The 15,923-nt window shown below is 35.7% G+C and overlaps 1 long non-coding RNA gene across 5 annotated transcripts in view; it reads right to left on the minus strand.

Moving 5' to 3' along the window:
• LOC101928570 (uncharacterized) overlaps positions 1-15,923 on the minus strand; it is a 248,816-nt gene that overhangs the window by 133,338 nt on the left and 99,555 nt on the right. The window contains exons 5-6 of one of the 5 annotated variants that reach the window (XR_241864.5): positions 12,625-12,750; positions 9,980-10,052 (exon numbers count right to left, since the gene is read on the minus strand). The exons of 3 other annotated variants lie outside the window; for them this stretch is intronic. This is a non-coding gene — a long non-coding RNA (uncharacterized LOC101928570). The remainder of the gene's footprint in view (positions 1-9,979; positions 10,053-12,624; positions 12,751-15,923) is intronic. One more of the 5 variants, XR_001744206.2, reaches the window with a different exon arrangement.

Consider the following 15,923-nt stretch of genomic DNA (forward strand, 5'->3'; position numbering starts at 1 on the left):
TGAATTATGGGGGCAAGTCTTTCCTGTACTGTTCTCGTGATAGTGAATGAGTCTCATGAGATCTGATGGTTTTAAAAACAGGTGCTTCCCTGTACAAGCTCTCTCTTTGACTGCCATTATCCATGTAAGACAGGACTTGCTTCTCCTTGCCTTCCACCATGATTGTGAGGCCTCCCCAGCCACATGGAACTGTAAGTCTATTAAATCTCTTCTTCTTTCCAGTCTCAGGTACGACTTTATCAGCAGCATGAAAATGGACAAATACAGCTATAGTAACAAAAATAGCATGGTCCTGGTACAAAAGCAGACACATAGACTAATGGAAAAGAAAAGGGAACACTTAAATCAAGCCACACACCTACAGCCATCTGATCTTCAACAAAGTTGACAAAATTAAGCAACAGGGAAATAATTCTCTACTTAATAAGTGGTGCCAGAATAGCTGGCTAGCCATGTGCAGAAGAATGAAACTGGGATCTTACCTATTTCTATATACAAAATTAGTTCAAGATGAATTAAAGATTAAAATGTAAGACCTCAAACTGTAAGAATTCTAGAAGAAAACCTAGGAAACACCATTCTGTACAATGGCATTGGGAAAGAATGTATAGCTAAGTTCTCAGAAGCAATTGCAATGAAAACAAAAATTGACAATAGGACCTAATTAAACTAAAGAGCTTCTGCACAGCAAAAGAAACTATCAACAGAATAAACATACAACCTACAGAATGAAAGAAAATATTCACAAACTGATCATCCAACAAAGGTCTAATGTTTAGAATCTGTAAGGAACTTAAACATTTCAACAAGCAAAAACCAAATAGCCTCATTAAAAATGGGGAAGGCATGAACAGACGATTCTCAAAAGAAGACATGCTAGTGACCAAAAAACATGAAAAAATGTTCAGCATCACTAATCATCAGAGAAATACAAATCAAAACTATAATGAGATACCATTTCACACCCATCAGAATGGCTATTATTTAAAAGTCAAAAAACAATACTAGTGAGACTCTGGAGAAAAGGGACCACTTATACACACTATTGGTGGGAATGTAAATTAGTTCAGCCACCATGGACAGATGTTTCCAGATTTTTCAAAACACTTAAAATAGGACTATCATTTGACCCAGCAATCCTCTTACTGGGTATATATCCAAAAGAAAATAAATCTTTCTACCAAAAACACACATGCACACATAAGTTCTTCACAGCAGTATTCACAATAGCAAAGACATGGAATCCACCTACATACCCATCAATGGTGAATTATATAAAGAAAATGTCATATATATGCATTATGAAATACTACATAGCCATAAAAAAGAATAAACTCATGTATTTTGCAACAACTGGATGCATCTGGAGGTCATTATTATAAGTAAATTAACAGGGAAATGGAAAAACAAATACTAAACATACTCACTTATAGGAAGGTGCTAAATAATGAGTACTCACGGACATAAAGGTGACAGCAATAGACACTGGGGACTACTAGAGGGGTGAGCGAGAGAGGGAGGTAAGGGTTGAGAAACTTACTATTAAGTACTATGCTCACTACTGCAGTGACAGGATCAACCATACCCTAAACCGCAGCATCACACAGTACACCTAGGTAACCAACCTGTATGTATACCCCTTGGATCTAAAATAAAAGTTGAAATTATTTTAAACAATATAATCAAAGGCTCAAAAAAGTAAAAGAATGGCCTATTTTTATTGTCTGAGATAAAACAATAAATTTTCTAATTTTTTCATACATATTTTCCTGAGGGTATGATAAAGTAAAATATTAATTTAGATGGAGTTATTTTTAATTTATCTGAACCAATTTTGGCCAATGTTTTGCAAAATGAAATGCATAAATTCACATGTATTTAGCTATTTTAATTCCAACATTTATTCTAAGGTCATTATTCTTTGTAATATAGAAAAAAATTACATTTCTACCAATTCTTTAGGATGAAATTTTTTTCACACCTCATGATGCCATCTTGAATAGCAGATGCTTTCAAAAATTGAAAAATATCACTATCTATTAGTCATCATTTCATATCACTATGAATCACCATTTCATTTCACCATTCCCTTAAAAAATCACATTACAAAGTTTTTATCAGATAAAGTGTTTTGTATTTGTTTTCCTGGCACATGTATATTCTTAATATTTTGGGGCATTCTTGGTCCTGCATGTGTTATCTGATACTATTACTCTTTATGCTTTCATAGCCCCTCCACTTATACCTGTTCTGATTCTCAAATCAATATGTTTATCTAGACTTCTCCTCTGAGCCTCATATTCCAGCTCTTTTCTGTTTATCTTCACCTAAAAAGGGATTTGAGTATCTCAAACTCAACATGGTTACAACTGTACTGGTCATAAATTACCCACAAACCTTCCCTAGTTTTATTATCTATTGCAATTAATGTTTAAATGGTCGTCTACGTTAAAAACTGTGGAGGCATCCTTCATTTCTCTTTTTCTTTCACACTCCTCATTCAATCAATCGCCAGGTTCGGCTTATTTTACCTGATCATTATTTATCTGTTCAGTCTTTTCCTCTCAGTCCCCATTATCATCCCCTCTAGAGCAAACCCTCACTACCTGAAGAGAAGAAGTTATTGACTGCTTAAACTGCTTTTCAGTGTCATCCCCACCCCTGTATTCCAGTGAATTTTCAGAATGAGCTCTCTGAAAAACAATCTGACTTTGTAATTTCCATATTTAAATTCCTTCATCTGATTTTCAGCTTCTCAGGGAAACCACCTAATATCCCTACCAGACAGTCATCTTTCATCTACTGAATAATTCAGTTGACTGAAGCAATGATCTTTAAAATCTTATGTTGCACAATTCTATTCGCAAATATTTTAAATACACCTTCATAAGTATATAATTGCTTCATAGCATATAATTGCTATGTTATGCATATCTTAAAATATTTTCCAAAACAAATAAATAAGAACATAAATAAACATGCCAATATTTTTTTTTCTGACAGTGGCCTCATAGATCACATTGTATACTCCTGAGGAGTTTGCAGACCCAATTTGGTGATCACTATACTAAATATTGTTGTCAGCAAATTGAAGGTCATAGCTTTGATAGTTCTTACGGCCATTTAATATCTTTTTATATATACAGACTATGTCCTTCCTCTCAGTCAGGCATGTTAAAAATGTGCAATTGGATCAGAGTACCTTGAGATTTGAAAGGACTTCAATTGTCCTACTGTATTACTTTCAAGAAGTAGTATAGAAAAAATATGGAAAGATCAGTATAAATTTATCCCTACAGCCACCAAACCAGACAATGCATAGAGTCTCAGAAATGCATGCATCATCTTAAAACATGATTCATTACCCTATGGCCCAAAACGGACTTTGAGCCTTTATGTCTTCCTTCAAAAACCCTCCCTTTGAGCTAGCTTTTTAAGTTACTATTTTCAAGCACATCATAAGCTTATTCCTGGCTTCAAACTTTTCCTTGAACCAGTTCCCCTACCTGTATGTCTCTCATGTCCCTTTTCTGACTAGATGAGCATTTATATGTGATTATGATTCTCATTCCTCCCTAATGACTTTTGGATAACTCTTTCACTCAGTCCTCTCTTCTGATTTCAGTATTGTATGTCCAGTCTCTGACAGTCTCTCTTTGTCTTAGCCAGCTTGGGCTGCCATACAAAATACCCTAGACTAGGTGGATTAAACAACAGAAATTAACTTTCTCACAGGTCTGGAGTCAGAAAGACCAAGATCAAGATGTCAGCATGTTTGACTTCTGGTGAGGGCTCTGTTCTTGGCTTACAGATAGCTGCTTTCTTGCTGGTTCCTCACATGGCAGAGAGAGACAGACTGAGCAAGCCCTCTGGTGTCTCTTCTATATATGCAATTATTTCTTAAGGACCTCAACCTAAATACCGGTACATTTGGGGTTAGGGCTACAACACATACCACTGTATCCCTGGCCTTCCAAAATCCATGTCCTTATCACATACAAAATGCATTCATTCCATCCATTAGCTCTAATAATATTAACTTGTCCCAGCATGAACTCTAAAGTCTAAAGTGCAAAGTCTCATCAAAACATCATCTAAACCAGAAACAGATGAGACTCAAGGAATGTTTCATCCTAAGGCAAAATTCCTCTCATGTGAACTTGTGAAACCAGACAACTTATGTCTGGCTTCCAAAATACAATGGTGGGGCAGACATAAGATAGACATTTTCATTCCAAAAAAAATAAATTGAAATAAAGAAAGTTTGATGTGTCCCAAGCAAATCCAAAATTTAGCAAAGCAATTGCCATTATAGATCTTAAGGCTCAAGAATCATCCTCTTTGACTCAATGCCTTGCCATCTAGCTCCATAAGAGTGGCAGAATCATCCCAGGTTGAGGCCATCTGGCTGCTGAAACTTAGCCAGTGGCCGGGATATATGAATCTCTTTCAGGGTCATTTTTTTCTCTTCTTTAAGAAGAGGATACATTTGCAGCCAAATACCTCTATCGCCTTGTCCTGTCAAATTCAAGAAGTCTGATAGTGTTTTTTCCTTTTGTCCCATCTTCATCCTCTTCAGTTTGAACTGGCAGTGTTTCTACCTTCATAATCCTATTAAATCTCTATCAATTAATAGTCTAGCCACACCCATGACGTTCTCTTTAGAACACTGTTTTCTAATTTATTGAATATGGATAGGCTACGGATTATCCATATCTTCAAGTTCTAGTTTCTTTTTTCTTTTTAACAAATCCTTCAATTTGACTTTCTCCTTTTACATTTTAATACAGTCAGGAGGATCCAAGCTGCTTCTTCAATAATATTGCTTAGAAATTTCCTCAGCTAAATATCCAGCTTTATTACTCACAAGTTCAACTTTCCACAAAACACTAGAGCACAGTTCAGCCAAGTTATTTGCCACTGTAAAAGAATCTCCTTTTCTCCAATTTTCAGTAATATATTCTTCATTTTCATCTGAGACTCACCAAAATCACTCTTAACATCCATATTTCTATGTACCTCAAAACTTTTTCATCCTCTAGCCATCACCTAGTTCTAAAGTCCCTTCCTTATGTTTAGGCAATTGTTATAGCAGCACCCCACTTCTTGGTACCAAAAGAACTGCATTAGTGTTCTCCAGAGAAACAGAACCAAAGAGAGATTCAGAAAATCTTTATCTATTCAATCTATATTTATATCTACATTCAATCTATATTTATATCTTTATAGATATCAACCTATCTATAAAGAAAGAGATTTACTGATTTATTACAAGAAACTGGCTCACATGATTTTGGAGGCTGAGACATCTCATGATCTGCAGTTGGCAAACTGGAGATCCAGGAAAGCCAATATGTTGTCCCAATCATAGTCCAAAAGCTAGGAAGACCAGTGTTCCTACTCAAGCAGTCAGGCAAAAGTTCCTCGTTATTCAAACTTTTGGTTCTACTTGTGTTTCTAATTGACTAGATTAAGCCAACTCACATTAGAAAGAACAATCCCCTTTATACTCACTCTACCTAATCAAATATTACTATCATCCAGAAACACCCTCAGAGACACACTCAAAATAATCTCTGACCAAATGTCTGGACATTCTGTGACCCAGTTAATTTAACACATAAAATTAATCATCACATACCTGATGCTCCAAGTAGTCAGGACAAAACTGAACTCAACTGCATAGATGGGAAGGTTATAGTTTCGACTGAAGGCTGATGAGAAAATCTAGAGCATGAATATGATGAGTCCTTCCCAGTTCACTCGAATACAATTTCTTTCCCTCAGCATTTTAATATTGACCAGCTGTTTCAATTCTAATCTCTCTTATAGATTGTCATTCTCAGCCTCATTATTCAAAAGTTCATCTTTGGCTTTTCCCTCACTGTTCCTGTGGCAGGCCAAGAAACTAGCTTTTGGCTTGGTCCATGTCATCCCTTCCTTAGCAAAATGTCTGCCTGTTAAGCACTGGCTGCTGGTGAGTATGCTGTGGTACTGGCTTATGTAAGCACTCTCTAGATGGCCTCATCTGCTGCTATACTATGAATGTTTGTGCCCTCTCAAAATTTATATGTTGAAGTTGTAACCTCCAAGGTGATGGTATTGAGAGGTGGGGTTCAGAAGGTGATTAGATCATGAGGGCTTCAAACTCATGAATGGAATTTATGCCCTACAAAAGGGGCCTGAGGGAGACTGTTGGCCTCCTCCTCCATGCGAGGACACAGCAAGAAGGCATTGTTCTGTGAACCAGGAAGTGGGAACTTGCTGGATCTGTTGGTGCTTTGATCTTGTACTTCACAGACTCCACAACTGTGAGAAATATATTTCTGTTTCTTTATGAGCTACTCAGTTTATGCTATTTTATTACAGCATCCCTAAAAGAATATGACACCTACCACCTGCAAGAAGGGTTGAACAGCATTGCATTGACAAAAGATAGAAATATTTTATTGATTTGTTACTTTTACTCCCAGCATTATAGACAGTATCATATACTTATGCATTTCCCAATCAATTATATTAAACTGGTGATTTTACTTCTCAAGTATTTTTTTCATGACACACATTATTTGCCACCTTGTTTATTCACAAATTGAATTCAGTCTTCTAATATCTGGGAAGCCCCGTCTAAAATAGCACCTCAGTTTTGTCACTATTTCCAATATCTCATCAGTTTTGAGTGATGAGAAATTCTGTTTTATCAATGCATTGAGAATTAATCAGTCTCTCTGGGATAGATTCAAGCTAACCAATCTCAAGGGGCTAATGCATAAAATTGAAATTAAAATGTATTCATTTATATAAAAAGACTCTTCCAAGTAGAATGAATATCTACATTTAATGGTTAGTTTATTCTTTCCCTGTGGAACAGCCACATGGATAGTCAAATTAAAATCTGAAGGTTGTTTGATAAGTATCGTATCAGAACACCAGGAAACAGGCAATCTAGCTGTGTCCTTGGTAAAAATAATTAGAGGTTTTCTCTTCTACTCTGTTTATATATGCCCCTTGGATAGCAAATATTCATCTTTTTGAGGGAGAGTATTCTTTTTCATGAATAATAATATGGCAGAATGACCAATTTAGCCCCAATTTAGCCTCCCAGAAATGTGTTATATTTTAAATAGTGTTCACCTTCTTTTGCTCACACATTTTATATAGTTAATACAATAAGCTAGACTACAATATTTTTTAGTTAATTGAATTAGACCTGTACTTATAACAACTCATTTAATCTAAAATTGAAATATTACTAGAAGGAGGGACAAGGTATTTTAAAGAACAATGGTTAAAACCACAGTAAAACAAAAATCTCATAATTGTTCATGGTTTGCAGATGGAATTATATATAATTTAATTTTTAAAATAATTTTATTTTTAATTTTTATGGGTACATAGTAGGTGTATATATTTATTGGGTACAGAAGATACTTTGATACAGGTATAAAATATGTAATAATCACATCAAGGTAAATGGGCTATTCATCACCTCATTTAGACGGGGCTTCCCAGATAAATAATTCCCAGATAAATAAATTCATCACTTTTTTTATGTTTCCAATGCTGTGTGAAAGCTTTTTCACTTGATATGATTCCATTTGTCCATTTTTGCTTTGGTTGCCTGTGCTTGTGGAGAATTACTCAAGAAATCTTTGCCCAAACTAATGTCCTGGAGAGTTTATCAATGTGTTCTTTTAGTAGTTTCACAGTATGAGGTTTTAGATATAAGTCTTTAATCAATTTGAATTTGATTTTTGTATATAGTGAGAGATAGGGGTCTAGTTTCTTTCTTCTGTGTCTGGATATCCAGTTTTTCCAGCACTATTTATTGAAGAGACTATCCTTTTCCTAATATATGTTATTGGCACCTTTGTTGAAAATGAGTTCACTATAGATGTATGGATTTGGATTTGTTTTTGGATTTTCTATTCTGTTCCATTGGTCTCTGTGTCTATTTTTATGCCAGTACCATGATGTTCTGTAGTATAACTGGAAGTCAGGTAATGTGATTACTCCAGTATTGTTCCTTTTGCTCAGGATGGCTTTGGATATTCTGGGTCTTTTGTAGTTCCACTTAAATTTTAGGATTTTTTTCTATGTCTGTGAAAAATGTCATTGATATTTGGAAGGGATTGCATTGAGTCTGTAGATTACTTTGGGTAATGTAGACATTTTACCAATGTTGATTCTTCCAATCCACAAACATAGAATAGTTTTCCATTTTTTCGTGTCTGCTTCAATTTCTGGTATCAACTTTATAGTTTTCATTGTAGATAACTTTCCCTCCTTTGATTTAGTTTATCGCTAGGTATGTGTTTTTTTTACTTTGTAAATGGAATTACTTTCTTAATTCCTTTTTGGGTTGTTTGCTGCTGGAACATAAAAATGCTACTGATTTTTGTGGCTCACGCCTGTAATCCCAGCACTTTGGGAGGCCGAGGCGGGCGGATCACGAGGTCAGGAGATCGAGACCATCCCGGCTAAAACGGTGAAACCCCGTCTCTACTAAAAATACAAAAAAATTAGCCGGGCGTAGTGGCGGGCGCCTGTAGTCCCAGCTACTTGGGAGGCTGAGGCAGGAGAATGGCATGAACCCGGGAGGCGGAGCTTGCAGTGAGCCGAGATCCCGCCACTGCACTCCAGCCTGGGCGACAGAGCGAGACTCCGTCTCAAAAAAAAAAAAAAAAAAAAAAAAAATGCTACTGATTTTTGTATGCTGATTTTGTATCCTGCATTTTTATTGAATTTGTTTACCAGTCCAAATACTTTTTTGGTGGAGTCTTTAGATTTTTCAGCAGTAACATTTTTGTGTGTATATTTCTATCCCAAATCAATTTATTACTACGACGTTATGCTTTTTGGTATTTCTTTTTTAAAAGAGCAGTTAATGGATGTTGTAGAAAAGCAAAGCTCAATTTCACCTTCCATTTTTAAAATAAAGGCATAAAATCATTGTCCTGTGATTGATTGTTCACACCTTTTAGTTTCAACTTTTAGTTTTCTTAAAATTTTTGATACAAGATATTTAATTGCAACATAGTTGAAACATTTAGCATGGCACCAAGAAGTTTATTTGTTTATTTTTTCATTTGTTTATTTACATTAAGTAAGTTCATAAAATGAAGTTTCAGTGAGCTGAAGGAAATGAATAGGTATATTGGGATAGGAAAGAGAATGTCCCATATCCTTTTTATGGGCCTAAAATGTATATTCTTTGCACATTTTTCACTTTAAAAATAGGTATTTTGTTTATTTGTTTGAAGCAAATTTTTACTGCTATGCTTAACTTATATGTGCACCATTACCTTAGAAGAGTATAAATTATAACCAACAATGAAAACAAATTTATAGCACCTATGCCCAGCCTACGGCAGGAGGTAATAACTATGGGACTCTTTATATAGACCCCAAACCCTGGCCACACAGCAGTAGAATGGTGGCAATTTGGACTAAAAATTTTTGACAGGGTGCAGTGGTTCACACCTGTAATCCCAGCACTTTGGGAGGTCGAGGCAGGCAGATCACGAGGTCCAGAGTTCGAGATCAGCCTGGCCAACATGGCAAAACCCTGTCTCTACTAAAAATACAAAAATTAGCTTGGAGTGGTGGCAAATGCCTGTAATCCCAGCTACCCAGGAGGCTGAGGCAGGAGAATTGCTTGAACCCAGGAGGCAGAGGTTGCAGTGAGCCAAGATCGTGCCACTGTGCTCCGGCCTGGGCAACAGAGTGAGACTCCGTCTCCCCCCACCCCCCAAATAGTAATCATAATAATAATAGTAATAATTTCAAGCTAAACCTCTATGTGACAGCCATGATTGTAAACATTAAAATAGTTGGTAATCAGATAATTATATGACTTATCTTTGATTTGTAGCCCTAGACTTGCCATATTTGTAAGATGAACAAAAAATAGGTAAACAAGGGAAATACAATATTTATTTGGCCTAATTTAGTTTATGAGAGAAGGAAAAGAACTCACTTTTCCTTAATAGCAAGATGCTGGGCTCAATCTTCGTTATTCTTTGTCTTCAAAGCAATAGCCACATAAAGACCTAATAGAGTGATAAGAACAAGGGATAAAAAAGATACGAGTAATGGAAAGGATTCTTAACACTTCTAATTTCATTTCACTGTCTCCCTCTTTTTCTTTCTGCACTAGCCATCTGAGTACGTGAGTTGCTACGTTTAATCATCACAGATTGGGGCAAATGGTAGTTGTGCTGTCATTTTTTAAACCTTGAAGGCGAGTCATTTAAAAATGAAAGGATAATTTGAATACTTGGAATTTAGGCAGCTTGGAGATGGATGAAACTAAGCAAACAGGCAAGGTGAAGCATGTAGTTTAACTCATTGACTGAGATTATTTGACTTTCTATTTTGGAAGTGTTATTAGATAAGCCCTATATCCATTCAGAAAGATAATGCTGACTTGGACTCAACTAAAACAACTGACAAGGAAACTAAACACTTATCAAACATGGCTTTAGTTAGCATATCCTCTTTACCAGAGTGCATTTAGTTCCCGACATTACTGGAAGACATTGATTTTTAAAAATAAACAATTAGAATTCATTTTACCCTACTGCCCCCAGTCAGCAAAATTCATCAAGCTATCATCTAGTGCAATCCATTCCAAACTAAATTATTAAAAAAGAAAAGAAAAAAAGATCCCTAAACACACACTTTCAGAATATATTAGGAAACTATATTCCTCCATGATTTTTCATATACTGCATTTCCTTCGTTATTATAAATGCAACCAGCAGTTCAGTTTTCATTGGTTAGTTTGTGGTTTATGGGCACTAATGTCCCTTAATGGCATGTAACAATTTAGAGGCTGGAAGGCCTAATTCAAAGGCCTCCTTCATGTTTCTGCTGAAGCAACAGTAAAATACTAAGTAGCTAAAAACTGAGTCACCATAGAAATATACATTTATCAAAGAGGAGGAAACAAGAGAGAGAATGGAGAAATAAGATCCTGAGGGCCGTGGTACTGAGCCCACAGGCTTTTAACCAGAGAGAAATGATGTTCTTTAAGAGCTAAATTTGTGAAAAATGACAGAGCCTAGTATTTATACTATTTCTTTTATTTAAGTTAAATAAAAGGATGGCAAAAAGACAGGCTATCTAGATTTTTTTTTTAATTTTGTTCTGTTTTCGTCCAAATATGACAAATCCCTGCTGTTCTAAGCAGTGTATTACAGATTCTCAAATTTAATTAGCAAGCACACAGCAGACACCTGGAAAAAAAGATAGAAGAATAATCTTTTGCAGTAGCCAACTATTTCTCAGTTCAGAGCATTTTAAAAAAAAAGACTCCCCAACTAATCCACTAGTCCTCATGCCCGTTGTGTATCGACCAAATTGAGCACTGACCCAGCACTATAGCCTCAGACTCCTCAAGCCTTCAAACTTCCAAAGCTAGGGATCTTGCTTTCAATGCAATCGCCCAAAACCTAAGTAGAAATCAGTCATGATAGTTATATTACTTCAAACTAGTTGTCATGATGATGGCCCCAAACAGCATTGCTTAAGTTAGCAGTTCTCAAAGAGCTTCAGCATCACTTTGGAACTTGTTAGAAATGCAAATGCTTACATCCCACCCCAAACCTACTAAATCGGAAACTCTGAGTTTTGACAAACCTCCAGGTGATTCTGATGCAGGCTTAAATGTGGGAACTACTGACGCACATTTAGAGGTTGATAATAAATGGCTATTTAATATGAAAGACAATTGACTTTGAAAACAGTTTCAAAAGAAAAGTTTTAAAAATAACAACGAGCAAATTGAGGACGATATTAGAGATTCAGTCCAGAATACAAATGGTAAAGAGAGGTCATCAGAGGATAAAGCGAAGAAAGAAATGAGATAGCAATGGAGGTGACTCAAGACTGCTTGGAAAAAAAGGGAAAAAGTGAGATAAAAATGAGTATTGATTTTCCTTTCTTCCTTGTTAAATCTTGGATGTTTTCAGCCACATGCGAGCCTTAGGTAGAGAGTCTATTTATGGCCTATGGATACGCCACAGTTGAAGACCAGAAATGACACTTGAGCTGAGACATATTCAAGAGTTTGCCTGTCTGCCTCTAAGACTTTGTCTGTGTTCTTTGGCAGGGCTCGATAGTCCTGAAAGTATGTGTTTACTCTTAATATATAGGTCAAGAACTTGAAGAAATTTTCAGAAGAAATAAATGCATATCTTTAATTGAGAGGCAAATGCACCTCATGGGTTTGCAGGCCAAGCCAAGATGAATTGAGTATTCCTGGTTGCAGGTGAGGTGAATGGGCTTTTAGACACAGGGGCTTCCCAGGAATAGTCATTGCCTATAAGCAAGCCACAGAGTGTTTAGAAAAGGTGTTAGACAGAATTTTCTCTTAATTGAACATTTAAACATGAATCCAGGGCAAGTGGGTCCCTAATATATATGGTATTTATGGAAGAATTTGAAAAGAAGAATGCATCAACTTGACAAAATTATCTGAAAATCAGTACTTGAAGGAAATTTGCATAAAATATACTTACACAGGTTGCTACTAAATATGAAAGTAAAAACAGAGACTACCTTGACACATACAGTGTACACTTGTGCATAGGTGCTTTGGTATGTTTGTTGCATACTTACTCAACTTCTTTACTTTCTTCTCCACAGATTGTCTACCTTTCAGAATCTTTTTCTACCAGATGATGAAGTTAATCATGTATTTCTTCTTTTAAAGATATTAGGCAAGTTTCCATTCAGCCAAAATGTCTAATCAAATATTTAAACATTCAAAACATAATTGAATAGTAAAATAATACAGCTTCCTATAAAACAAGACAAATAAAATACTTATAATATTTACTGTGAATAAAATAGTTTCAAAATCCCCCTTATTGGTGGATATAGATATTGCCAGATTTTACAAGTGAGAAAATTAGAGCTCATGAGGTTAAGCCACTTGCCAAAGACAACAAACAGAAGCCTAAATTGTCAAAGCAGCATTAGAACTCAAAACAGTGAGCATGAAACAAAGGCATACTCTCTTTATACTCCTTCAGAAAGAGGGACATCAATGGGTATAATAATCATTAGGCAAAAAGAATTAAATGTTTTGCATAGCTATTTTATTGATTACTTATTGTTTTTAATCCTCTAAGTCAGTGTTTTCCAGGAGAAATATAATGTGAATTGCATATGTACTTGTAAATTTCTCTACTGGCCACATTAAATACATAAAAACAAATAAGTGACATTTTAAAAATGTATTTTAGCTAGTTGCAGTGCTGCACTCCTGTAATCCCAGCTACTGGGAGGGTGAAAAGGGAAGATCACTTGAGGCCAAGAATTCAAGACCAGCATGGGCAACATAGCCAGACCCCATCTCAAAAAAAAGTATTTTATTTAACATACTATATAGAAAATATTATCATTTCAAAATGCAATCAATATAAAAAGTATTCATAGTATATTTTACATTCTTTTTTATACATTGTGTCTTGGAATCAGTGTGCATTTAACACATAACACATCTCAATTTGAACTAGCCACCTAAGTTAGTGATTACCATATTAGACATTTCAGCTCTTTGTGTTTTTTGAACACCAGGATCTATACAACATGGAGTTATGTTCTAAGATGAACTGATAATAAGACCATGGTTTTTGTTCTTATGGCTCCTTTACTATTCTTGGAAATAAAATAACCTGCCATGTTTGTTAAGCACTCTCCCCACCCACCAAAAAAATAATAATAATAACAAACTACTCTTCAGTGATTTCTTTTCTGAAGGTTTTTCTTTTTCCAGCAAAAGACATGACTCCTCCATAAATAATGATGTTCTTATTAAGAAAAAATGGGGGAAAAAACAACAAACTAAAACAAGAAAATAAAATAATAATAAAAAAACTTATGTGATATATGTCCAATGCCCAAAAGGTGAAATGTTGCAGGTTTAAGAAAAACATACAGAAAGATTATGCTAGAATTGATACTCAGTTAATGAACTGTGAAGACTTCCTTAGTAGAGAAAATTGAAGAAGTGATGGTATTAAAAGACTTCCTAGAGTCCTGACGAGAGAGTTTCTAGCAGTAGTTAATTGCCAAGCTCCAGAGGAGAGTAAAGCAGGCAGCTCAAATGGCTGCTAGAAAGACGGGCAGTTGGCTTCTTGCCTTTTAGAAAAAATGTGAAGTTGGCCAAAAAAAAAAAAAAGCTATCTTGAAAAGAAAAATGAGTTTTCCCTTGGAATTTTGTGGTGTAGAGCATCACTCTCTCAGATATAAAGGTCAGAACTTTCATCTCTGATAATAGGGTCAGGACCGAGACCTGCATCAAGAGACTATTGACTCTCTCCATCAACCTGTTAGTGGATTTTGTGGTCTGATATTCCAACCCAAGCCCCATTCCCAGATGGATCTGCACATTTCTGTAAGAAGTTAGCCTCAAGTCATTAATTAAATCATACAGTGGAGATTTATTGAGTGTCTAATGGGAGTTAGGCACTGCTAGGTCATGAGGGGTCACAACTGAACTTAGATATGTAAAAAAGTCTGAGAGAAAGACAATGGTAGCTGTCTCTTCTGACCCTTAAGGGCATAATGGCATCCTCAGAGGTCTCAGGAAGGAAGTGAAGTAGGAGGAGAGTCTTGAAGCATAAACAGAAGCATAAAATATTGGTGGAGTGGGGCAATCCTGACACAGGAGGAAGCTTCTTGCCTGAATTCCCAACCAGCTTCACTTATCAATAGGATAACTATGCCTCATGGATTGCCTAAGAAAATCCAAGTTTGCTTGTATCCTAAAGAAATTATCAACTATATCTTTGATTCTCAAGGTGCTGTTCTCTAGGTTCCTTTGAATAGTAAACTTTATAGTCACTCTACTTATCAAATATCAGAGGCCTTGTTGAATGATAAACTCATTTTTGTAAAACTGTAAATGAGGACATAATCATCAACTGCTTCCTAATAAATGTCACCTGATCAAATGCACATACAAAGGAGATTTTTAGATGTTCATATACATGGCAGATGAAGTAACCTGGAAGTGGCTATGTGTGCATGTGTGTGCACTTACATGTCATGTGTACATGTGTACATATATTATGTCATGTGGCATTAAGTATAATTTTTAAAAAGAATAAAAAATAGAATAGAGAGTGGCAGTTGGCAAATAAGTGCTATTTTATAGATGGAGGTCAGAAAGTCTTTCTTAAAGAGAAAAATTTAACAACAAAAACAAAAACCCCAGAAGATAAGTAATCAAGCCCGAAGGATGTATAGTGGGGAAGCACCCCAGACAGGGAAAACAGCAAGTACAAAGACTCCAAGATGAGAGAAATCTTGGCATGTATGATGAATAGCAAGGTGGCCAGAGTGGCTGGAGATGAGAAAATGAGTGGAAGAATGATCACTGTTGAAGCCAGAGGGATAGTAAGCAACCAAGTCATAGTGGGCTTTATATGTCATGGAGAGTAAATTTGGGTTTAGTTTTGAAAACTCTAGGAATGCACAGGAAGAATTTTGAGCAGTAGACTGATAGGACGTGGCTTAGATTTTAGAGGAATTATTCTAGCTGCTATATGGAAAATGGACTGAAAGTGGAAGGGGGATGGGAATAGTTAGAAGGCCTGAGTATTTTCTTTACTGTTTATTCACTTGTTACTGCAGCATAGAAGCATATTTCATTATTTTCTTTGATGACTTTACTTGATTTCAATATTCTCTTCATTTAAAAGAGTGTTTTCTCATTTTAGCACAATTTATTTCATCTCTCCAGGGACACAAATTGACAATAGGACTTTCCCTTTTCATATTCTAGGGTCATTGAGACTGAACATAAGCCCTACCTTCTCCTCATGCTAAAGACTTAAAAGGCATTAGATTGTTAATTTCAAAAAGTAAAATGGATCATTGTCTCTTACAAAGTCCCTTCATTCTTCTCT

Source organism: Homo sapiens, chromosome 6 (genome assembly GCF_000001405.40).
Source record: "Homo sapiens chromosome 6, GRCh38.p14 Primary Assembly".
Classification (NCBI taxonomy): domain Eukaryota; kingdom Metazoa; phylum Chordata; class Mammalia; order Primates; family Hominidae; genus Homo; species Homo sapiens.